The following is a 25,790-nucleotide window of genomic DNA, read 5'->3' on the forward strand; positions in this document are numbered from 1 at the left end:
AGGCATGAGCCACTGTGCCCGGCCTAACAACTTGTTCTTAAACAAAAAGTGACCTCTTTCTCCAGCAGGGTAGCCTTGGGCTTCTCTACCTGGAGGTTGAGCCCTGAGAGCAAAAGTGGAAGCTGCCAGATCTCCAAAGGCTTGAGCTTAGAAGTCCTAGAATGACACATCCACTGCATTCTCTGGGTGAAAGCAAGTCACAAGGTTAGTCCAGATTCAAGGGGTAAGAAGACAGACTCCACTTCTGGATGGCAGGAATAGTAACATCACACAACAGAAAGACGTGATTCATGGAGGCCACAACACACAAAATGGATGTTGCTAATTTCTAGTCCAAGACAAAACATACAGAGTACCTGACAATGGGAGTGAGAGGGCTTTGGGACAGTAAGTGAGATTTTCTGGGAGGTTGTCCTACTTGCTAGAAAGCATTTAGCTCTTCTAAGGGACTCCACTTCAGTAGACAGACTGTTTGGCCATACTTTTCTCCTTCCTGCCCCAAAGTCTTGGAATTAGAAGGAAACAATCCCCAAATCTTTTTTCTTTTTTTTTTTTGAGATAGGGTCTTGCTCTGTTGTCCAGGCTGGAGGGCGTGGTGCAATCACGGCTCACTGCAGCCTCGACCTCTTCAGGCTCAGGTGATCCTCCCATCTGAGCATCCCAAGTAGCTGGGACTACAGACACAAGCCACCATGCTTGGCTAATTTTTTTGTATTTTTTTGTGGCGGGGGGGTGGTTCACCATGTTACCCTGGCTGGTCATAAACTCCTGGGCTCAAGTGACCCTCCTGCCTCGTCCTCCCAAAGTGTTGGGATTGCAGGTATGAGCCACCTTGCCCAGCCCCCAAATCTTGATCTCAGTGATTCCCCTCCTGTACCTCTGATGAACTCATCTTCCCCCTCTGGGTTACCCTCTGCTTTTCATGGCTGAACAAGTTTCCCCTGGAATGGGCAGTCTATGGAGAGTAATATTTTGGTGACCGTAACACTTTTTCGTTATTCTGTCTCACCAACTTGCAGTGCAAGTGATGGCCTTCTCATGTGTCACCTTTTGCACATGTGCAATCCAGCACTATACATTTTTTTTTTTTTTTTGAGATAGGAGTCTTGCTCTGTCACCCAGGCTGGAGTGCAGTGGTGTGATCTTGGCTCACCGCAACCTCCAACTCCCAGGTTCAAGCAATTCTCCTGCCTCAGCCTCTCAAGTAGGTGAGATTACAGGCATGCGCCACCACACCTGGATAATTTTTGTATTTTTGGTAGAGACAGGGTTTCACCATATTGGCCAGGCTGGTCTCGAACTCCTGACCTTGTGATCTGCCCACCTCTGCCTCCCAAAGTGCTAGGATTACAGGCGTGAGCCACTGCACTCGGCCTCATCACTATAAATCTCTTTGAGTTGCACTCCTTTTCCATCTGGAAATCAAACATTAAATGCCAACTTTGCTTTCCACAATCAATTTATTTGGCTATTGCATTAGGCCACTCTTGCATTGCTATAAAGAAATAACTGGGACTGGGTAATTTAAAAAGAAAACAGGTTTAATTGGCTCACAGTTCGGCTGGCTTTACAGGGAACATGATGCAGGCATCTGCATGGCTTCTAGGGAGGCCTCAGGAAGCTTACAATTATGACAGAAGGTGAAGGGGGAACAGGCATGTCACACGGTGAAAGCAGGAGCAAGTAAGAGAGAGAGTGGGGAGGGGTAAGGTGCCACACACTTGTAAATGACCAGATCTTGAGAGAACGCACTCAATATCATGAAGATAGCACCAAGCCTTGAAGGATCTGCCCCCACCCCAGACCCATACACCTCCCACAAGGCCCCACCTCCAGTACTGGGGATTATAGTTCAACATGAGATTTGGGTGGGAACTTAGAAACCTAGAGGATTCTATGCTGTGTCTCCAGCACCTCAAGGGGCATTTACTGATTTCAAGGCATGTCCTTTGCCCAGCAGCCACCTGGACGTGAACAGCAACAGCTGGCCATCTCAGCTGAGTGTACCTCATGGATAGAGGAGGGAGGTGCAGAGAGAAATGTTCATCCAATATTGGTTGAGCAATGTCCTAGGGGCTAAGGATGTAGCACTGAACTAAATGATGTCCCTGTCCTCATGGAGTGACACCTAGTGGGGGGTGCAAACTATCAACATACATAAAACAGAAAAAAATAGAAAAGGTGGAGGAGCGATAGTAATAGTTTGAGGACTGAACTTCAAAAAGTCAGGAAAGGCCCTTTGTTTTTGTTTGTTTTTTTGAGACAGAGTCTCGCTCTGTCACCCAGGATAGAGTGCAGTGGCGTGATCTCAGCTCACTGCAACCTCTGCCTCCCGGGTTCAAGTGATTCTCCTACCTTAGCCTCCAGAGTAGCTGGGATTACAGGCATGTGCCACCATGCCCAGCTCATTTTTGCATTTTTAGTGGAGACAGGGTTTCACTACATTGGCCAGACTGGTCTCGAACTCCTTTGAGCTCAGGCAACCTGCCCGCCTTGGCCTCCCAGTGTTGAGATTACAGGCATGAGCCACCGCGCCCGGCTCTAGTGAATAGTTCTTAGACATGTCACTAAAAGCAAGATCCATAAGAGAAAAATGGATAGACTGCACTTCACCAAAATTAAAAACTTTTGCTCTGAGAAAGATCCTGTTAAGGGCATGAGAATACAAGCTATACACAGGGAGAAAATGTTTCCAAATGGCATATCTGACAAATAACTTGTATCTAAAATATATAAAGTACCCTCAAAACTCAATGGTGGAAAACCAAATAATTAGAGAATAAGCTAGGGCATGACAAGGCATTCCACAAAAGGATACACAGATTGCAAATGACCATGTGAAAATATGCTCATCATCACCAGCCACTAGGGAAATGCAAATTGAAACCATGATGAGGAATTACTATGTGCCTATCAAAATAACAAAAATAAAAAAATAATGGCAGTACCAATTGTGGGTAAGAATGCAGAGAAAATGGATCTCTCATACACTGGTGGTGGGAATGTAAAATGGTACAGCCATTCTAGAAAATAGTTTGGCCTTTCCTTACAAGCAAAATGTACATTTACCATATGATCAAGTAATTGCACTCTTGGGCATTCATCCCAGATAAAAAAAAACTTAGGTCTAGGCCAGACATGGTGGCTCATGCCTGTAATCCCAACACTTTGGGAGGCTGAAGCAGGTGGATCACTTGAGGTCAGGGGTTTGAAAACAGCCTAGCCAACATGGCAAAACCCCATCTCTACTAAAAATAAAAAAATTACCCGGGTGTGGTGGCACACACTTGTAATTCCAGGTACTCAGGAGGCTGAGGCAGGAGAATTGCTTGAATCCAGAAGCAGAGGTTGCAGTGAGCCAGATCACACTACTGCACTCCAGCCTGGGTGACAGAGTGAGCGACACTCCTTCCCAACAAAAACAAACAAAAAACTTGTGTCTATGTAAAAAACCTTTACATAGGGCTGGGCGTGGTGGCTCATGACTGTAATCCCAGGACTTTGGGAGACCAAGTGGGGAGGATTGCTTGAGCCCAAGATTTTGAGACCAGCCTGGGTAACATGGTGAGACCTGATCTATTAAATAAATAAATAAATAAATAAATAATTTTTTTTTATTTGAGACAGAGTCTTGCTCCTCACCCAGGCTGGAGTGGAGTGGCGCAATCTCTACTCACTGCAACCTCTGCTTCCTGGGTGCAAGCAATTCTCCTGCCTCAGCCTCCCAAGTAGCTGGGATTACAGGCGCCCACCACCATGCCTGGCTGATTTTTGTAATTTTAAATAAATAAATAAATAAATATAAATACAAACCTGTACATGAATGTTAATAGGAGCTTTATTTGTAATAGTCCAGAACTGGAAAAAACCCAAATATCCTTCAATAGGTGATGCTAAAATGAATCTGTATGTTTGTACCATGGAATATTACTCAGTAATAAAAAGGAACAAACTACTGATATCTACAACTTGTATGGCTCCACAGGTGGTTATGCTGAGTGAATAAATAAATAAAAAAGCTACATACTATGTGATACTATTCATATAACATTCTAGAATTGAAAAATTTTATATTTAATGATCAAAATGATGGTTGCCACAGGCTAGGGGTTTTGGGGGTAGGAAAGTAGTTCTGACTTCATAAAGGGGTAGCACAAGGGAGATCTTTGTGGTGCTGCAATAGTTGTGGGTCTTCATTTTGGCAGTGGTTACACAAATGTACAGACATACACAAAATGATGGAAATATACCTGTCTCCCCCACACAATGTACCAAGTCAATTTCTGGTTTTCATACTTTAATATAGATATTTGAAATGTAATCATTGGGGGAATGGGCTTAAGGGTACAAAGTACCTCTGTGTACTATCTTTGCAACTTCTTGTGAATTTATAATTATTTCTAAATAAAAAGTTTAAAAAATTTTTTAAAATCTGTTTTTATTCAAATAAGGTAGCACTTTTCAGAGAAAGGTTTAGAAAAGGTGAAATCCAACTTTCCTAGAAGCTCTGTGCTACCACTTAGCTGTATTTTAAAACTAAGCAAACTTTGGTTTTGTTCATGGATCACATAGCAGAAGATCAAGATAAGGCCAAGAAAAAGTATATAATCAACTTTGTAATGAGGTGAATTAACAATTTCCTTTTTATTGAAGCATTAGCTGATGTGATTTAAAGAGGGCTAGAAAATACACTATGGAAAGCTAACACAACAGCTCCCTTGTGAAATAAATTTTAAAATGCTCATGTTTTTTTCTTTTCGTAGGTGTGTGTACACATTTAGTTTTATTGTAACAAAGCAACTTGTACACTTTTAACATTTAAAACTGAGCATGATCTTTCCTTTCCAGTGAAACAAAATTTAAAAATAAACAGGAACAAAATTACAATAGAGAATGTCAATTCCAAATAAGATCCTAGAGGTTCTGCTGATTCTCCCACTGAGTGGCAGGGCTCAAGTCATCATTAGGAGAGAATTTATTTTAAAAGCGTCATCTTAAACTGCAAGGATGTGTGTCAAACATCGCAATTAAACATGCCAAAGGAGAAGCCATGTTGTCAAAATGTCCGCTTAACCCACCCAAACATCTCAGACCCACCCTTTGCTGACTTCTAGAATCCCATTTTTTAAAGTTTTTTTCTTTTTTTAAACAAGAGAAAGTAGACAGAAAGATGTTGGTAAATGCTAACTGTCCATATTCACATAGAGACCCAGTGTACTCTCCGAGCCCAATATACAGAGAAAGCAGGAAGAAAGCTAGAATTGAATGCTCTGCTACACATGGGCCTAGAGCCCTCCAGCTTCCAGCAGGGCGAAGGGAGCAGGTTTTTCTTTTTTCCCACAGAGCTGGGGTGATGTTGATTCTATACAGTTTTTGCTCAGACAGGAAGGGATAAAAATGAATTTCGAACAGAAAGGGGTAGAGACTCTTTTCCCATTGTATTCTGCTGAAGTTATTTCCCCCAAAATAAGTTGAGAACTATAGTGTAGAGAAAAGAAACCTCAAGAACAGGGCGACTGAGCACAAGAGAGAAAAAACAAAAAACAAAAAAACAAAAAAACTGCAACTTGCTCCCAGGGACTGGAGAAAATGTAAAAAAAGGAAGGTTGGAATCCATCAGTGTTTTTTTGCTGTTGTTGTTGCTGTTTTTTTTTTTTTTGAGATGGAGTCTCCCTCTCTCGCCCAGGCTGGAGTGCAGTGATGCGATCTCTGCTCACTGCAAGCAACCTCCGCCTCCCGGGTTCACGCCATTCTCCTGCCTCAGCCTCCATCCTCAGCGTGAGCCACCGCGCCCGGCCTCCATCAGTGTTCCATTAGTCATCTCCTTCATCCTCCTCTCCTTCCTCCCCTTCATCATGTTGGCTCATGTTTATTTATTAAAATTATTTTGGGCCGGGCGCAGTGGGTCACGCCTGTAATCCCAGCACTTGGGAGGCCGAGGCGGGTGGATCATCTGAGGTCAGCAGTTCGAGACCAGCCTGGCCAACAGGGTGAAACCCTGTCTCTACTAAAAATACAAAAATTAGCCAGGCGCGGTGGCGCACGCCTGTAATCCCAGCTACTGGGGAGGCTGAGGTGGGAGAATCGCTTGAATGCGGGTCGGGGGGTTGGGGGGTGGGGGGCGCGGGCGGGGGCGCGGAGGTTGCAGTGAGCCGAGATCGCGCCACTGCATTCCAGCCTGGGAGACAGAGCGAGACTCCAACTCCAAAAAAATATTTTTGGCTTTTCATTCACTTTGACTTAATATACTTAAAAATATACCCTCCAAAGAGGTATTCATTTTTGGGTGGGTTAAATGCTACCTATTCCAAAACAATTTTAAACTGGTTTATATTAGTTAAAAAAAAAATACTAAAAGGACAAAGTAGTCCCTGTAGACTAAGCTGCCGCTGTCCGAATAAGAAAGCTCAAGCGGCTCATAAAATTTAAAAAGTCTTCCTTTCATCATGCCTCCTGGAAGGTAGCTATCAAAATTTTAGGGTTTAGTATAAAGTCTAAGATGCTCAGAAACATTAAGACAATTGTCCTTACTGTGCCACCGAAAGGCTAAAGGGAGTAAGCTTTTAACAAAGGTTTAAGGGAGTAAGTCCCAGAGTCCAAACTGGATTTCACCGACTGACTGTTGAAGCTTTCGGGTCTCAGCTGTTGGCCCAACGAACCTTCCCAAGACCTTGAAGACCGGCAGCCTACCCGCCACCCTGAAAGGCGGAAGTGAGGAGAGAGGCAGGACTCCCCCCTCCCCAACCCTCGGAGATGAGAGGGCGACCGCGCGACGCTCTGGGCTGCTAGGTCTCGACTCGGTATCCGGAAGTCCTCCAGCGTTCGCCTGCAGGAAGCGGAAGTAAAAGGGCGGCCGGCAGCTGGGCAATTGCTTTGCGAGGCTGGGTGTTGAGTCGAGCCGCGGGAAAGGCGCGTGTCGGCCTCTCACTGGCGCAGCCTGCACTGCCGCTGCCGCCTCGCCCCGCCCTGCCCTGGCGTTGTCTCTGGCACTGTGGCGGACTGACCACGGCCCGGGCATGGGCTGCAAGGGAGACGCGAGCGGTGCGTGTGCCGCGGGTGCGCTGCCGGTGACAGGTACCCAGGGGTGGCGTGAGGAGGCCTCGTGGACAAAGAGAGGGTTTGGGGCACAAGGCGACCCTGTGCCCCTGTCACATTGAGCTTCCGCCTCTACCGTGACTCAGTTTACCCTCTGGTGTCCTATCCCTTCCCCTATTCGCGAGCGCCCCGAGTTGCCCTCAGTGGTCTTCTTGGCAAGGTATCGCTTCCGCGGGGGTGGCGGCGGGCTCTGTTCAGCGGTCTTGAACCTTCTTTGAAGAGCTTTAGATCCTTGTGCCAAGTGCAGAAGGAAATGGGGGAGGTATCCTACCATGGATTTAGACCAAGCTTGATCCTCAGTGAGTTGAGAAGCAGCACTTTGCAGGACCCTGATTGCAGAACGACGTGCTTTTTAAAATAGATTTCAATTTTTCCTAAAATGAATTCGGGTTGATGCGTATTGGTTACTGTTTTCTTTTAACACTGTGATCTGTTGGCTGGAAATTGGATGATATGGTTTCACTTTTAGCGTGGGACCTGCCAGAATGAGATCTGCGTCCGTCGCCAATAACTTATAGATGTGAACTGTTTTTGTTCCTTGGCCAGAATCTGCAGTTGTTTTGCATTTCTTGCCAGATTTGAGAAGGAGCAATTTTGTTCGTTTGAAGTCCTGGGGTCTTTTGCCTTATTGTGCTACACTAACTGTTTTGGAAACATTCATTGATGTACTTGCCAGCCAATTTTAGTGTAAAGTGCCCTCTTTCCTTCAAGAATCTTACACTTGCAGGCGTTTGAAGACATTTTAAATAGCTATTTAACAGCACCACAAAACTTGGAATAATTGTAGCCTTTTCACTTTGCTTTTTTTTTTTTTAAGCCAGTCGAATTTAGCAACACTTGACTTGCTTTTGATAAACTTAGCTGAAGCTTATTTTAAAAAAATTCTTATTTATTTATTTATTTATTTATTTTGTAGAGATGAGGTCTTGTTACCTACCAGTCTGATCTTGAACTCCTGGCCACATGAAACTTATTAAAGGAAGTGACCATAATACTTTGTACAGTAGCATAGCACATTTATAATGCACATTGAACTTCAGGGGAATATATGAAAGTAAGAAGAAAATTTGCTTAGAACTTTCCTGCAGCTGTCTGTGAGCATTTTCTTTTTTTATCTAAGTTTCCCTGTAACAATACAAGATGATGTGATAATTTTCTTTCTTTCTTTCTTTTTTTTTTTTTTTTTGAGATGGAGTTTCACTCTTGTTACCCAGGCTGGAGTGCAATGGTGCAAGAGATAGTGTTTTAATTTATTTTTTTATTTTTTGTTGGTGAGGCAGAGTCTTGCTCTGTTGCCCAGGTTAGAGAATAGTGACATGATCTTGCTAGCTGCAGCCTCCACCTCCTGGGCTCAGGTGGTCCTCCTACCTCAGCCTCCTACGGATGGTTGTTGATAGTTGGGCCTAGAACTTGTTAAAGAGTGTTTTCTGTTTATTCATCATGCCGCAAGTATAATGCTTATCATGCAAAGCCACATGGCACATTCTGTTGGCCATTATCTCAGACTGTTTGTCTTTATAAGCAACATTTAAGAACCCCTAGGGTCAGAATGATAAGGGATCCTATAAAATGAAGACATACTCAAAGCAGAGACCACTTCAGTGAGATTCTTACGTCTGCTTCTCTGGACAGTCTTTTCCTCTGGTTTTACCTGTAGAGTTAAGAATGTGGGGTCAGAGTGGCAAAGCTCTTTTTTAATGTATAGCTTTCCTCCTTTTTTCATCTCAAATGGTGCTGCATCTCTCCCCAAGAACACGTACTCTCTCTCCTTTTTGAAAACAGTGTAGGGGGATCTCGAGGCAGGCCACAGGTTCATAGGATTTTCATTTTACCTATCTTGCAGTCCTAGGCATTTTATAGCATCTTCACTCTTGGTGCCACACTCCTTTCCTGTTGTTTCCATTCATGCCTTAATGAATGAGGCCTGTGTTTATTTCATTTTGAGAGCCTTCTATGTTTCAGGCATAATGCTAGGCGTGGAGACCATGATAGACAAAACACCCTGCTCTTGAGGAGCTCCCATCGGTCCCCAAAGCCAGCGTAAGTGTGGATCTGTCAGATTGGTTGGTTGGATTGCTTCGGTCCCAGCTTCAGGCCTCCTCCCTTGGTTTCAGGTTAAAACTATTCCTTTCTCAGCCACCTGTCTCCCAAGAACTGTGGCCACTGAAAATCCTTGGACTTGCCTTGGTTCTCACAAGCACTTTTCTCAGTCTGAGTCTGCACAGAGTATGGCTTTTTACCCTTTTGTAAAGCCAGAGAACCAGAGAAGAGAGCACGGTATTGTAGAACTTTAAAAGCAGGAAGGTGTGGGTTCTAAGCACTGCTATTTATTAGTTAGGCAAGGTACTCAGCATCTTCGAGCTTTCACTTATTTTTAAAGTGGAGATGCATGCAGCATATTCATGGACTGTCTTCTGAGTGCCAGGCATCATGCTGTGCACTTTGGTAAACGAAGTAGACATGGTTGCTCCCCTCAGAGAACGTTAGTGCCCTGGGTTGTTGTATGTAAGGATTAGATAACACTGTGTATGTAAAGCACCTAATACAATGTTTAGCTCAGAGTCATTGCTTGTTAAATGCTGGGGTTTCCTCAGGGGACTTTGTCATACCCCCAATTTCCTCCCCACTCTACATGCCATCCACCTGGGGTTACAGTGCAGTGGCGTCCAATTCGTCATCAGGAATCACCACTTTCTGGGGTGTACACATCTAGACCCCTTCAGGACAAATTGTAAACATAGCTAATAGCGTAATACTGCTAGACAGTTCATATGATGCGCTGTCTCCAGTTTATAAACTCATTGACTCAGGCCAGATTAAAAAAAAAAGAAAAACTCTGTAACTTTTGGGGAGAATTTTTTCTCTCAGCCACAGAGGATATATTTCCAATGTGTATTTTTGAGGCTATTTAATAACGATGATGTACTATTCTGTAATTTAGAAGATAGTTTTTTCTTACGATAAAATGTTTTACTACAACAATCAATTCTGGTATAGTACTTGGCACTTTACAAAGTGATTTTTTTATTGCCTCTTCATTTTCACATTGACCCTGTGAGGCAGATACTATTATTCCTACTTTGATAGTCTTCGAGACTAAGGGCCTGGGAAGTTAGGTAACATATATGTGGTTAAACTGCTAGTACGTAGCAAACTCAGGAATTGATCACAGCTGCCCTGATGCTAAAAGGTTCCCTTTTTTTACAAACCGTGTCTATTGTGTCCTGTAGAGCAGGTTTCTGAGGCTGCAGTCTGTGGGCCTGTGGGAAAGGGTGTCTATGGTTAGTCCTAAGAGAATGCTTTTTTTTTTTTTTTTTTTTTTTTTTTTTTGAGACGGAGTCTCTCTCTGTCGCCCAGGCTGGAGTGCAGTGGTGCGATCTCGACTTACTGAAACCTCCACCTCCCGGGTTCAAGCGATTCTCCTGCCTCAGCCTCCTGAGTAGCTGGGATTACAGGCACCTGCCACTATGCCTGGCTAATTTTTGTATTTTTAGTAGAGACGGGGTTTCACCACATTGGACAGACTGGTCTTGAACTCCTGACCTCAGGTGATCCACCCACCTCAGCCTCCTAAAGTGCTGGGATTACAGGCGTGAGCCACTGCGCTGGGCCAGTCCCAAGAGAATTCTTAAGTTGTACATAAAATTTGGGTCCTTGTTTGCTCCTCTGTGGGAAATGTCAGTAACTTTACTAGATTCCAGAAAAGGCCTATATCCTCTTCACTCAACCAGCCAGGAATCACTGCTATCAGGTTTCATTGTGTAAAATCTAGTTTGGTTATCTCTAATTTCAGTAGGTTTCATTTTTGTGTGTGTATTCTTTCATTTCTGCAGCCTCTATAGCAGTTTTTACAAACGTTGATTTTGAAAAACACTTCTGAGTGTTTTTATTTATAAGTGGGATGTTCTTCTTCTTCTCCTTCCTCTTCTTCTTCCTCTTCCCCTTCCCCTTCCCCTTCTCCTTCCCCTTCCCCTTTACCTTCCCCTTCCCCTCCTCCTTCTCTTCCTCCTTCTTTCTTCTTTCTTTCCTCTTCCTCCTCCTCCTCTTCCTCCTCCTCCTCCCCCACTCTCCTCCTGTCCTGCTCTCCTCCTGTCCCGTAACTCCTCCTGTCCCGCTCTGTTGCCCAGATGCAGCATGGACCTCCTAGGCCCAAGCTATCTTCCCACCTTAGCCTCCCAAGTAGCTGGGACCATAGGTGCATGCCACCATGCCTGGCTGATTTATTAATTTTTTTTGGTTTCCAAAGAAGCTGGCAGTGCCTGAACTTAAAATGCTTCTGAAAGCCACTTTTCTATTTGTTATAATTTATTTTGCTTTTGACCATCGTTCTTCAGAGATACTGTATGTTCTATGAAGCAGGATGTTAACACAAATGATGCTTTTTATAAAAAGCAGCTATTGACTAGTCCCCAATGTGGACAGCCTCCCTCAGTGATAGATTTTGTAACCAATATTAAAGAACTGGGATGAGACCGAAGTGAGCCTTACCAGAGCTAACATTCTGAAGCCCAAGGATAGCTTAGTGCTTCCCACATATTCACACCCCCTTTTAGTTCTCATTCAAATGGGTAGAGCTCAGGGGAGGTCCGATTAGGGTTCTGTTAGGTGGACTTTGGAGATGAAAATCAGAGAAATCTGCAGCTGGAGACCTTTTTCTGAAACTGTCTGGATGCTGTCTGAGAGGATCTTGACAGGCTTGGAGCGGCTGCGGAGGGTGTCAAGAGGCCTGCATTCTGTGGCCATCCACTTTGCCAGTGACCCTAGATCCCTCATTTTGTAGATGGGACAGTTGGCTTGGGAAGCCACTAAAATTTTACATTTCTTTATTTCAGAACCTGTCTGAGTTTACATTTGGGACCCATTATGTTAGTTTCCTAGGGCTACCACAACAAAGTATCACAAACTGGGTGGCTTAGAACAATAGATATTTACTGTCTCACAGTGCTAGAAATCCTTACTCAGGGTTTCACAGGACCACGTTCCCGCTGAAATCTTTGGAGGAAGAATCTTTCTTTGACTCTTCAGCTTCTGGTAGTTTCAGGCATTCCTTAGCTTACAGTATAATTTTAGTGTGTGCCTCTGTCTTCACCTGGTGGTCTCCTGTGTCTCTACATAGTTTTCCCTCTGTGCTGTCTTTCTCTGTCCAGATTTCTCCTCTTTATAACATCAGTCATTGGGTTAGTGCCCACCTAATAACCTTGTTTTAACTGATGACCTCTGTAAAGACTGTATTTACAAATAAGTTGACATTACGAGGTACCGGGGGATAGGATTTCCATATCTTTTTTGGGGGACACAGTTCAACCCTTAATACCTATCATTTATATTTTCATCTATCTCAGCTTTATTTGCTTTCATCCTTTATAAAATATGGTTGTGTGCAACCTGGTGTGCCACCAACTGATTTTTATACCCCTGTATGGTGTAGATTGCTTGGGAAATGAAGCAGAGCCTTTGTAGGAAAGAATGTAATAACCTAAGTGCCTTCAGTTACATATCAGTCACTCAGCAAATATCTGTTGGACTAGCTAGATATTAAGTGCTATTATATGTCAGAAGCATTTCTGTTTCGCTAACTTATGTTATTTTGTGTCTCCAAGTATTATTAGGATTGTTATTTTGTGTCTCCAAGTATGAGGTTAAAATTACCTTGTAGCAGGCCAGGCATGGTGGCTCATGCCTGTAATCCCAACACTTTGGGAGGCTGAGGCGGGCAGATCACGAGGTCAGGAGTTTGAGACCAGCCTGGCCAACATTGTGAAACCCTGTCTCTACTAAAGATACACAAAATTAGCAGGGTGTGGTGGTGCGTGCCTGTAATCCCAGCTACTGGGGAGGCTGAGGCAGGAGAATCGCTTGAACCTGGGAGGCAGAGGTTGCATGAGCCGAGATTGCACCACTGCACTCCAGCCTGGGCGACAGGGCGAGACTGCGTCTCAAAAAAAAAAAAAATTTCCTTGTAGCAAAACTTCTTTTCTTTTTTTCCTTTTAGGAGTTTGCTATAAAATGGGAGTTCTGGTTGTACTCACTGTTCTGTGGCTGTTCTCCTCAGTAAAGGCCGACTCAAAAGCCATTACAACCTCTCTTACAACAAAATGGTTTTCCACTCCATTGTTGTTAGAAGCCAGGTAAGAGAACATTTTTTTTCCCTTCGTGTATTTGAGTATAAATATAGGCTCTGACAGTGAACATTCAGGAGCTTTTTAAGGAGTGAGATTATCATCAAATGCATTTATGAAGAGCCTCTTTCAGTGTATACTGTAGGATGTATTGTACAAAGGCTGTTAGGACATAGCATCATTCAGTAGGACAAGGGCTATGTGGGTTTATAGAGCTATGTAGGAACTTTGGACAAATAACTGTGTTGGATAAGTTAGTATGTTACTTTCCAAAAAGCATAACAAGGAAAGAGAGGGTTATGTTTATTTATTTATTTATTTTTGGAGACAGGGTCTCGCTCTGTTGCCCAGGCTGGAGTGCAGTGGTGAGATCTTGGCTCACTGTGACCTCCGCCTCCTGGGTTCAAGGGATTCTCATGCCTCTGCCTCCTGAGTAGCTGGGATCACGGAAGTGCCCCACCACACCCTGCTAATCTTTGTATTTTTAGTAGAGAAGGGGTTTCGCCATGTTGGCCAGGCTGGTCTCAAACTCCTTAGCCTCATGTGATCTGCCTACCTTGGCCTCCCAAAGTGCTGGGATTACAGATGTGAGCCACTGTGCCTGGCCAGTTGTATTCAAATTTTCTCCTTATTTGAAGGAAGTTTTAAGAGGTGATTGATAAAAGGAAGAGAAGAGGGCTTAGCAACGTGGGGGAAAGAGGACATTTTTCCCTTAAGAACGTGGAAGAAGGCTGGGCACGGTGGCTCACGCCTATAATCCCAACACTTTGGGTGGACAAGGTGGGTGGATCACCTGAGGTCAGGAGTTCGAGACCAGCCTGGCAACAATTAGCTGAGCGTGCTGGCATGTGCCTGAGCATCAGATTAGGAGATTATGCCCATGCAGCTCAATCTTTCTTTTTAAATGATAAAACGGTGGCTAGGTACGGTGGCTCATGCCTGTAAATCCCAGCTCTTTGGGAGGCTGAGGTGGGTGGATTGCTTGAGTCCAGGAATTTGAGACCAGCCTGGGCAACATGGGGAAACCCCGTCTCTCCAGAAAAAAATAGCTGAGTGTGGTGGTTCGTGCCTATAGTCCCAGCTACTTGGGAGGCTGACCGGGAGGATCACTTGAGCCCAGGAGGCGGAGGTTGCAGTGAGCCCAGATCACGCCATTGCAGTCCAGCCTGGGCAGCAGAGCAAGACTCCGTCTCAAAAAAAAAAAAAAAGGGAAAGAAGTTATCTTACGATTAAAATGGGTAGAATTTTTCATAAAACAATAGTTGTCTTAAAATTAGTGAAACATAGTAATTTCATGAGAAATTTTGTATTCCAAGTGTGCTTTTTAGCTAGTGTTTGTAAATAAATATAATGAGATACCTGTCTGTATAGGTAGGGCTTAAATGCTTATGGATGGAAGGTTATTTGATTGTATCTCAAGTGATGTAGAGGTGGAACTAGCAGAGACTTTCCAAAGGATAAATGTGGGTAGATTGAGCAGCAAGCACTTGGTAAGTCTTAGTGTTTGAACGTGCTAGAAATTTGGACTGTCACATCACTCCAATCAGCCTTGTGGTCTGTCTTCTTCATCTTCAATTTATATATATATATTTTTTTGAGAGTTTTTGAGACAAGGCCTGTCTCTGTTGTTCAGGCTAGAGTGTAGTGGTGTGATCTCAGCTCCCTGTAACCTCTGCCTCCTGGACTCAAGCCATCCTCCCACCTAGGCCTCCCTAGTAGCTGGGACTACAGGTGTGAGCCACTACCCCTGGCTTATTTTTGTATGTTTTATAGAGATGGGCTTTCACCATCTTGGCCAGGCTGGTCTGGAACTCCTGAGCTCAAGTGATCTACCTGCCTTGGCCTCCCAAAGTGGTGGAATTACAGGTGTGAGCCACCATGCCTGGCCTCTAGAATTTTGTATTCTAACATTTTCCCCTTAATTCCTAGAAAAATGTGGATGAAGAATTTTGCCATGTTGATTGTGTGAACGAATGGTTGCACCTCTTAAGGAAAAAGCCTCATTTGATACTGCTAAAAGGACCAGTGGGAGGGGGCATGTGGCAGCCGGTCTTGGCTAGCTCAGGAGCCTAGCAGACTTTCTGCTAAATAGACTTCCTTCCATCGCCTCTCTCTGCCTTTCTTTCTCAGCATAGAAGTGGCAAAACAAAGACAAAACCATTGTATGTATTTCATGGTGATAACTAACTTGATAAATGGGTCAAGCTTGTCAAATGTCAGAACTTTATTTGATACAGCATAGTTGTAAAAGTGAAGTGGCTCTTTTTTAAGAGTTCTTATTATGGGGGAAAAAAGCCCAACAAAGCAAATAACAAACAAAAAAGCAGTGACTGAAGATATTTTGAGACTGCCTGAGCTGGACTGCCTGAGCTGGACTCTAAAAACTAAAGTTTTTCTTTTCCTTTTTGCTAATCTTATTTTGGATGATTTGTTTGGTATAAAATCTGTCATTGAGATTTACAACCCCCCCCCCCACCCTACTTATTTTTTTTGAGACAGAGTTTCATTTTGTCACCCAGACTGGAGTTCAGTGGCGCCATCTTGGCTCACTGCAACCTCTGCCTCCCAGGTTCAAGCCCATTCTCATTCTCCTGCCTTAGCCTCCCAAGTAGCTGGGATTACCGGCGTGTGCCAGCATGCCTGGCTAATTTTTATATTTTCAGTAGAGATGGGGTTTTACCATGTTGGCCGCCAGGCTGGTCTGAACTCCTGACCTCAGGTGATCTGCCCTCCTTGGCCTCCCAAAGTGCTGGGATTACAGGCGTGAGCCACCGGGCCTGGCCAAGATTTACTATCACTTTCTGAATCATTTTGTACAATTAACTGTAACAGGTGTTTTTGTGATATTCTGTTTAACATTCTTTTTTTGAGATGGAGTTTCGCTCTTGTTGCCCAGGCTGGAGTGCAATGGCGTGATCTCGGCTCACCGCAACCTCTGCCTCCCAGGTTCAAGCGATTCTCTTGCCTCAGCCTCCTGAGTAGCTGGGATTACAGGCATGCACCACCAAGTCCGGCTAATTTTGTATTTTTTTTTTTTTTTTTTTTTAGTAGCGATGGAGTTTCTCTATGTTGGTCAGGCTGGTCTGGAACTCCCCACCTCAGGTGATCCACCCATCTCGGCCTCCCAAAGTGCTGGGATTACAGGTGTGAGCCACCGCGCCAGGCCTCTGTTTAACATTCTTACCCTGAATTACATTTTGTTACTTTCACTTTTATTTACACTAATTTCTTGATAGTTGTACATTCTTGATCATTGTCCTAGAAGATTCTTACAGCATAAAACTATGGACTTTTGAGAAAGAATGCTAAAATTGCCAGCCCTAATTGCTCAATATTTTCAGTTTCTTTGATCACTGTGAAGTGGACAGGGTATACTGTTTTCTTCACCAACTTCCTTATCACAGACATCTCCCCCTTTCATGATATCCCTGGTCATTTGCCATTTTGTTTTATTTTTATTAATTTTTTTCCTTGGCATGTGAAGTAAGAGCTACATTTGCCCTTTTGGTTTACTATTTTTAGGCCCCTTCTCCTGTGGCTATTTGTATACAGTTTCCCAAGGTAATACGACATGTAGGCAACTCATAGAAATGAGCTATGCTTATTAGAATCCACTTAGTATTCACCTCCAGAGCTAGCAGAGCCCACCATTCTTCCTTCTTATGTCTGTGGGAGACCCTGATGTTGGATCAAGGTACTATGTCCATCTGGTTAAGGATGAAGGGTCAAAATATTTTACTACACTTTATGGCATGCCACCACCACAGATCTTTTGCCTTCCTTGCATCTATCCCTTAGGGACTAAAAATATTCCTGTTGTGTATTTTTAGATTGGACCTGATGTTTGTGAAGGAGTTGTAGCTTTGTGATTGTCTATGAAGTGATATTTATCTTTAATTGAAGTAAAACACTAAATATGTTTTCTGCAGCTGTAGCTACAGAAATATTATATAAGGAGGTATTATTAAAATCAAAACCAATAATCATTTACTGAGTGCTAAATTTTGTAATGACCCAAGAATGTAGCATGTTAGAGGTATAAATTAAATAGACATGAATTTATATTCCAGCTTTTCCATTGACTAACTCTATGTCCCTAAGAAAGTCAGTAGCATCTCTGAATGGCAGCTTCTTTATTTGAAAAACGGTTATATCTGAGGGTGGCTGTGTGGGTTTGCGGACACGAGTAAATATGCCAAGCTTAGTGACTGTAACATCGTAGAGCCTCCTTAAATATTAGTTTCTTCCCTCCTAGTTCCACATAGAAGGAAGACCAATGCTGATCTCCCGCAATAGCTTTGGAAATCTAAGAAAACAAGTTGTCACCTGATTTGTACTATCTTGTGGGCATTCATTCTGGTTGTTTGTAGTTTTTTTTGTGTTGTAGATTAAAAACTTGTCCTGGATTATGGCATTTCAAAACATTTATATATGGAGAGAATGGTATAATGTACTCTCTCTGTACCCATCATCCTGTTTTAACAATTATCAATTTAAGTACAATAACCACCATCACCACCCCCTTCTCTCCTCCCGCACTAGAATATTTTAAAGCAAATCCCAGACATCATATAGTTTGTAAAATCATAATTTTTTTTTTTTTTGGGATGGAGTTTCACTCTTGTTGCCCAGGCTGGAGTGCAATGGCACGATCTTGGCTCACTGCAACCTCCACCTCCTGGGTTCAAGCGATTCTCCTGCCTCAGCCTCCTGAGTAGCTGAGACTACAGGCGCCCGCCACCACCCTCGACTAATTTTTTGTATTTTTAGTAGAGATGGGGTTTCACCATGTTGGCCAGGCTGGTCTGGAACTCCTGACCTCAGGTGGTCCACCCACCTCAGCCTCCCAAAGTGCTGGGATTACAGGCGTGAGCCACGGCGCCTGGCCTGTAAAATCATAATTTATGCTCAGTGGAATAAGTATTATATAAGAAGCTAAAAAAACAAAAAGCAACAAAAATATGCTGTAAAAAAAGGCAGCATTTCTTTAATAATATCTTGTATTGTTATTCTCTCCTCTGGGTTGTTTCAGTGGATCTAGTAAGTAATATTAGGACTGTTCCAAGTTTAGACCTTGTAAGACCTTATGTATGCAGTGGGGTGAAAAGAATGTATGTTTCAAGAAGTTTCCCTGTAATTGTATGAAAAGCATGTATTTATTCGTGTGTGGCCTTTACTGGGAGAGTCTTAGTCTGATTGAATCTTAGTTCTCACCACACTGGTGAGTGTGTCACCTTGCCCCTCTCTGCTTATCTTGTGAATGTGCCTTTAATTAATTAATTTAGTGTTTATTTGCACATCCTGATGTATCTGTCTTAGGACTTGTTTTCTTAGACTATAAGCTATGCCAAGCTTGGTGTGGTGTCTATGTCAGTTACTAGAAAGCCTAGAAAAATACTACTTTCAAGGAGGCATTGAGAAATTTAATATATTATGATAATGGGTATTTTCAGAAACCTATTTTTAGAGAAGCTGTGCATTACCAGGAAATGTTTCTTATTTTTCCCATATTTCTGTGTCTAGCTGTGGAGTAGAGTGAGATTGTACACCCCAGTGTTCACAAGTAATGGGAAAGTCTTCCTTTGGCTAGGTAAGCTGAGATCCAGATCTGTAGTTTGCTTTAAGACAGTGAAAGATCACCACTGCATTAGTATTATGGCTCAGAGGAGAAGATAAGCAATTGACATGAATCATTCAATTACTACGTGCATTTCCTCGTAGGGGTTTTAGACTCTTGAATGAAGGGAAATTTAGACTGGCCATTATTTTAGTAGGATAAAGTCGAAAAAAATTAAGATGGCATTAAGTTCTTGGATCTGATTTTGTTAGATCAGTGCTAATTTTAAACTAAGTTTGGTGATCTTGAAAATTTGGATTTAAGAGTGTTAAAAGATTACAACATGCTGCCTTTATTCTCAGAAATTTTTCTACGGTTCATATTTTACTGTGGGAGAACTTTAGGCAAAACATATTTTTTGTTCTTTGTAAGGCCTTTCAGAAAATAAGTAAGCAGAACTAGTACTAGAATCATCAGTTCCTAATTCTTCTTCCACTACTCATAGTATTTTTGTCAATGGGGTTTCATAAGCTTTCTTTATATTGAGACTTCCCTTTTATGTTTTTATTATTCCAGGTTTCTTAAGAAATAGCTATTAAGTGAAAAAATTCATAGGCTAAGTTATTAATAACTAATAAGATAGGACTTGATTATCATTAAAAATATATATATTATACATAAAAGAGTATTATATATTATAGATTAAAAGTCAAACTATGGACATTTGGAAACTTCAAAACTTATTTTTACTCTCTTTAGTAATATAGTTTATATTAGAAAATTTTATTAAGTTGTTTTATTTCTGATCTTTTCTCCCAGTGAGTTTTTAGCAGAAGACAGTCAAGAGAAATTTTGGAATTTTGTAGAAGCCAGTCAAAATATTGGATCATCAGATCATGACGGTAAAATTGAAGCAAATGCTTCTTTGACTTTGGTGTCTGGGAAAATATTAGGAAAAAATTGTCTCTTTATAGTATGTGTGGCATGGCAGTTAATGGAAAACATTGTTGTCTTTAATGACTGGAGTTATGATGGTGGTCAGGAAGAGCCAACACAACACAAATTATTATTTTTGAAGCAATGTATACCTTTGGCTATAAGTGGTACCTTTGTTTTTTTCCCCTCTTGTTTTTGTTCTATCGTGATCCTTTATTAAAGTGCTATGTGAATATTTTGTGGAAGTACATTTCATTTTAAATCATTCAGTATTAATAACCATCTAATCTGATTCACTATTTTTGTTATGAACTACACAACTGAGCTATTATCTGTTAAGTTCATTATCATTAAGTTAGTATCATCCAGAGTGTTTTCCATTATGCCTGCCAGCCACCCACAACTTGAGTGTTAAGGTATCAAATGAATGATTATCCTGTAAAACCTCATTTGCAGTTTTTATGATGTGCTTTCACATTTTTTAAACTTCGTATAAGCTATATAGGGTGTAAACATTAATAGTTGGAGATGCTGATATGTGAGTAGTTAAAACCTTGAATATTAATTTACATTGACAGATATAGGTTATTATTATTTTTTTTTAATTTTTATTTTTTGAGATGAAGTCTTGCTTTGTTTCCAGGCTGGAGTGCAGTGGTACGATCTGGGCTCACTGCAACCTCCATCTCCCAGGTTCAATCATTTCTCCTGACTCAGCCTTGCAAGTAGCTGGGATTACAGGCATTCGCCACTACGCCTGGCTAATTTTTGTATTTTTAGTAGAGATGGGGTTTCCCCATGTTGGCCAGGCTGGTCTCGAACTTTTGACCTCAAGTGATCCACCCGCCTCAGCCTCCCAAAGTGCTGGGATTACAGGCATGAGCCACTGTGCCTGGCCAGATATAAGTTCTTACAGAAGAGGAAATGTTTCAAAATTGTGTGACTGCTGCTGATGTTAATGGGTTGTTTTTTTTTTCTTCTTTTAAAATTATTTAATTATTATTTTTTTAATACAACGGAGATGAGGTCTCACTGTGTTGCCCAGGCTGGTCTCAAACTTCTGGGCTCAAGTGATCCTCCCACCTCGGCCTCCTAAAGTTCTGGGATTACAGGCATGAACCACTGCACCTGGCCTGTATTGATTTTTTTAACTTTTTAATTTTTATTAAAATAATTCATATTTTAAAAATTGTCTGAATCTTTTTGTTTTATTTTTATTTTATTTCACTTTTTTCACTCTGTGATCTAGCCAAAGATTTATTTTATTTATTATTATTTTTTATTTGGGCTAATTAAAAAAATTTTTTTTTGTGGAGACAGGGTCTCGCTGTGTTGCCCAGGCTGGTCTCAGACTCCTAGGGCTCAAGCGATCCTCCTGCCTTGGCATTCCAAAGTGCTGGGATTACAGGCGTGAGTGACTGCACCCAGCTAGATTTTACTTTATTTTATTTTATTTTATTTTATTTTATTTTATTTATTTTTTCGAGACAGAGTCTTACTCTGTTGCCCAGGCTGGAGTGCAGTGGCGCGATCTCGACTCACTGCAATCTCTGCCACTTGAGCTCAAGCTGTTCTCCTGCCTCAGCCTCCCGAGTAGCTGGGATTACAGGTGCCCACCATCGCGCCCAGCTAATTTTTGTAGTTTTAGCAGAGACGGGGTTTCGCCATGCTGGCCACGCTGGTCTCAAACTCCTGACCTCAGGCAATCCACCCACCTCAGCCTCCCAAAGTGCTAGGATTATGGGTGTGAGTCACCAAGCCCGGCCTAGTTTTGATTTTAGAAACAGAGTCTGGCTCTGGAGGCTGGAGTGCAGTGGTGTAGTTCACTATAATCTTGAACTCCTGCTCAAGCAGTGTTCCTGCTTCATCTTCCTCAGTAGCTGGTATTATAGGTGTGTACAACCAGGCCTGGCTAATTTTTAAATTTTGTAAAGATGGGTCTAGCTGTGTTGCACATGCTGGTCTCAAACTCCTGGCCTCAAGACATCCCTGCCCTGCCTCTCGCCTTGGCCTCCTAAAGTGATGGGATTACAGGCGTGGGCCACCATGCCCAGCCTGAATCTTTTTTTTTTTTTTTTTTTGGAGATATAGATATGTAAATATTTTAAACAAGCATCTGTAGGTTTTACTAATTTAGAGGCAACTAGAATTAAGTTATCAAAAAATACTTTATTTTTAAGATTTTATAGAACAAATTTATCAAAGTGGGTTTATAATCAAATTTGAACTTTGACATTTAAAATAACATTTTTTCAGTAAAAATGATAATATTAATTAAAGCTATAGGAGTATGAATTCTATGAACAACATAAAAGCATGTTAAACATTTTATTTGTTTGAAATATTATTTATATTCCTGCCACCCAAAGATTGACACCATTAACATTCTGGCATCATTTTGAGATATTTCTTATCTAGTTTTACGTAGAGGATGCTGTTGCAGTATAAAACCTTTTATATTCTGGCTCATAAAATGTTAATATTTATATTTTGTTTTTTACATGGAACATTTTATTTTCATTATTTACTTATTTATTTTTTGAGACAGTCTCCTCTTGCTCAGGCTGGAGTGCAGTGGCGTAATCTCGCTGCAACCTCTGCCTCCCGGATTCAAGTGATTTTCCTGCCTCAGCTGGGATTACAGGTGCATGCCACCTCCCGTGGCTAATTTTTATATTTTTAATAGAGATGGGGTTTCACCATGTTGGCCAGGCTGGTCTTGAACTCCTGACCTCGGGTGATCCACCCACCTGCCCCTTCCAAAGTGCTGGGATTACAGGCATGAGCCACCGTGCCCTGCCTATTTCTATTTTTTTTAAAAAGAGACGCACTATGTTACCAAGGCTGATCTCTTGAGCTCCTGGGCTCAAGCAATCCTCCTGCCTCGGCCTCCTAAAGTTTTGGGATTACAAGCAAGAGCCACTGTGCTTGTCCTTTAAAATGGAAAATTTAAGTTTTTTGCATGGATATATGTGATTCCGAAGTCAAAGCTGTATAAAAGGTTATACACAGAGAAATCTTGTTTCTTCCTTGACCCTGTTCCTTCTGTTTCTTTCCTGCTTTTTATAACATTTTAAATTAATTTGTTTAGCCTTAAGTGTTTTTTACAGCAAATATATACATATGTATTCTTATTTCTCATTCTTTCTACTGGTTTAAAAAAAAAGTTACTATGTACATTGTTTTGTGCCTTTGCTTTTCATTTATCCTGGGGATTTTTTCACATTCGTATTTGGATTTTTTTTTCTTTAAAATAATTTGGTCCAACTTTTTGTTTAAATGCTTCTTTTCAAACTTTACAATTTCATTAGTATTCTTTAATACTGTGTAACTTCCTCATGACACTGCTCAGTTTTGTTTAGTTTTTGGAGTAGTTACCATATGCTAGGCATCATGGATATAAGGATAAATAGGTCATAGCCTCTTCCTCTGGGGACCAGAAGTCTAAGTGGGGTATAGATAGACAGTGAATAAATAATTTAGTAAATGATATGATAAGTGAAAGAGGTAAACAAAGACGTGTTCTGGGATTGAGGAAGAGGTTTAACTGGTCCATTGAAGCATGGGGTAGGGATTGTGGAGACTTTCTGGAGTAGGTAATTTCACAGCTGAATTATTTCTGAGGAAGTATGTAGCTGTAAGTCATCCAGGTAAGTGGGAAAATAGCGGTCCAGGGGAGGGAATAGTTCGAAAGGTGAGAAGAGAGGAAGAGCCCAACTGCATTTTGTACTCCAGGGAGTTTTAAGCATTTGTTGAGAGTTCAAGACAATATACTGGTAAAACTTGCCTTCACATACCTTTGTAAACACAGCTTTGTGCTTCATGAACTATCTTCTTTAGATATCTCTAGTCATACGCAATTACTTTGGTTAATGTTCTTCCTTGACAGGTACCGATTATTCCTACTATCATGCAATATTGGAGGCTGCATTTCAGTTTCTGTCACCCCTCCAGCAGAATTTGTTTAAATTTTGTCTGTCCCTTCGTTCTTACTCAGCTACAATCCAAGCCTTCCAGCAGGTGGGTCCAGTGCTCTTAAAGAACAGCATTTTAGAGTGTATATCATGATGAATGGATGGACCCCAGTTGTCCTGGAATTGAATTACAGAGCTATTATCACTTTTTTGCCTGAAATTTTCTAGGATTTATGATTTTTAAAAAAAATAATAAGCAAAATTGATGTTAAGTCTTCAACCCACAGATTTAAAAAAATAAAAGAATATCTATATAGAAAAAAGACAGCAATATTTTATTTATGCATTGCAGCCTGGGAGATGTAATCTTGTTAAACCAATGAGCCAGCATCTAATTACAGCCTGTAGTTCTAAAAGCAGTTCACAGGAAATACAGGAGGCAAGAAATGTTTAGCATCACCACAGGGATGCAGTCAGGAAAATCTAGAATTCAGGAATCGTTGTAGTAAAGTAATCTAGTTTCTTCAGTACATAAATTATGGAAATTTCTATTGTAATTGAAAAGAAAAAGAGGGACAGAGGAACCTCAAGTTAAGAGAGACTTAAGAAGAGACAGTCAAAGATGTCTTCACCAACTTGATATTTGATATAAAAGCAATGCTAATTTTAAAATTATTTTTTATTATAAAATAAAACATGGAAAAACTCCTCACAAAAAATATATAGTAATGGACTATTATAATGTGAACATCCTTGTAATTTTCACCCAAGTCAAGAAGCAGGACTTAGTCTGGCACCATGGAAAGCCCTCCGTGTACTTTGTCCTGATTGTGGCCACCTTTCACCCCTGAAACCAACCACCCTGTTAATTTCTGTTGGAATCACTTGCTTGTTACTGTATTGTATTGCCCAAAGGTACATCTTCACACAATAAAGTGATTTTTTTTTTCATTTTTCTTTATTTTGTGACACAGTCTCGCCCTGTCACCCAGGCTGGAGTGCAGTGGCGCAATCACAGCTCACTGCAACCTCCACCTCCTGGGTTTAAGTGATTCTCCTACCTGAGCTGGGGTAGCCTGCTACCACACCCAGCTAATTTTTGTATTTTTAGTAGAGACAGGATTTCGCCGTGTTGGCTAGGCTGGTCTCGATCTCCTGACCACAGGAGATCTGCCTGCCTCTGCCCCGCAAATTGCTGGGATTACAGGCATGAGCCACTGTGGCTGGCCTGTTTTTGCATTTATTGATTTTGTTTTTTTGAGACAGGGTCTTGTTCTGTTGCCCAGGCTGGAGTGTAGTTCTGTGATTACGGATCACTGCAGCCTCAACTTTTCAGGCTCAAGCAATCCTCCTACCTCAGCCTCCTTAGTAGCTGGGACTACAGGCGTATGCCACTGTGCCTAATTTTTTATTTTTTTTATTTTTTGTAGAGATGGGGTCTCACTATGCTGCCCAGGCTTAAGTGGCAGGCTTAACTGCCCAGGCTTGGGCTTAAGTGATGCTCCCACTCTGGTCTCCCAAAGTGCTGGGATTACAGGCACGAGCTACCACACTCAGCCAGTTTCAACAATGTTGTTTTGTCATAATTTAATCACCTATTTTGATTATACATGTCTTTATCTCGTCTTTGGTTAGAAATTTAAAAAGTATGTGTTGTGTCTTATGTGACAGATAGCAGCTGATGAACCTCCACCAGAAGGATGTAATTCGTTTTTTTCAGTGCATGGAAAGAAGACTTGTGAATCTGATACCCTTGAGGCTCTTCTACTGACAGCCTCTGAAAGGTAGATTATGTGTTTCTTTATTTTCATGTCATGCATTTCCAGTGCTGCTTCTGCATTTGGTCTACCTTCTGATTTTCTCATCTGTTTTGTATCATTAGGTGTAATGGTTTAGAGTATGGCTTCTGGAACCAGACTGACTATATTTGAATCTCAGCTCCGTCACTTAAAATAGTTTTGTGAAATGTGGCAAATTACTTTCTTTCCTAATCTCATTTCAAAATGGAGATGATACAAGTATTTAGTATTAACTGTTACTGTTTAGTAATGACTGCATCTGAGCAATGACATAGATTTTGTCATTGGCTTAGTAAGGAATACTGTGTGTATTAAAGCCAATGCCTGAAATAATGATATTAATGATAATATCTCTCAGGATATTATTAGT

General features: G+C 41.6%; 1 protein-coding gene across 10 annotated transcripts in view, besides 1 other annotated feature; it reads left to right on the plus strand.

Moving 5' to 3' along the window:
- Positions 6,621 to 6,930: an enhancer, noted in NCBI's record as "active region_16509". NCBI's record gives its function as "activates an Ori minimal core promoter by ATAC-STARR-seq in GM12878 lymphoblastoid cells {active_cell/tissue: GM12878}" and the evidence as "EXISTENCE:reporter gene assay evidence [ECO:0000049][PMID:35858748]".
- Positions 6,859 to 25,790, plus strand: part of UGGT1 (UDP-glucose glycoprotein glucosyltransferase 1) — a 104,478-nt gene continuing 85,546 nt past the window's right edge. For 3 of the 10 annotated variants that reach the window (NM_020120.4, XM_006712635.5, XM_047445123.1), the window contains exons 1-5: positions 6,859 to 7,074; positions 13,088 to 13,223; positions 19,591 to 19,673; positions 23,597 to 23,727; positions 25,293 to 25,405. In NM_020120.4, coding sequence (NP_064505.1) covers positions 7,017 to 7,074; positions 13,088 to 13,223; positions 19,591 to 19,673; positions 23,597 to 23,727; positions 25,293 to 25,405 — 521 coding nt within the window. In that variant the 5' untranslated portion in view covers positions 6,859 to 7,016. Of the gene's footprint in view, positions 7,256 to 13,087; positions 13,224 to 18,737; positions 18,805 to 19,590; positions 19,674 to 23,596; positions 23,728 to 25,292; positions 25,406 to 25,790 lie in introns of those variants that run through there. The other 7 variants (XM_006712636.4, XM_047445122.1, XM_047445124.1 and 4 more) reach the window with 4 other exon arrangements.

This window comes from Homo sapiens, chromosome 2 (assembly GCF_000001405.40).
Source record: "Homo sapiens chromosome 2, GRCh38.p14 Primary Assembly".
NCBI lineage: Eukaryota > Metazoa > Chordata > Mammalia > Primates > Hominidae > Homo > Homo sapiens.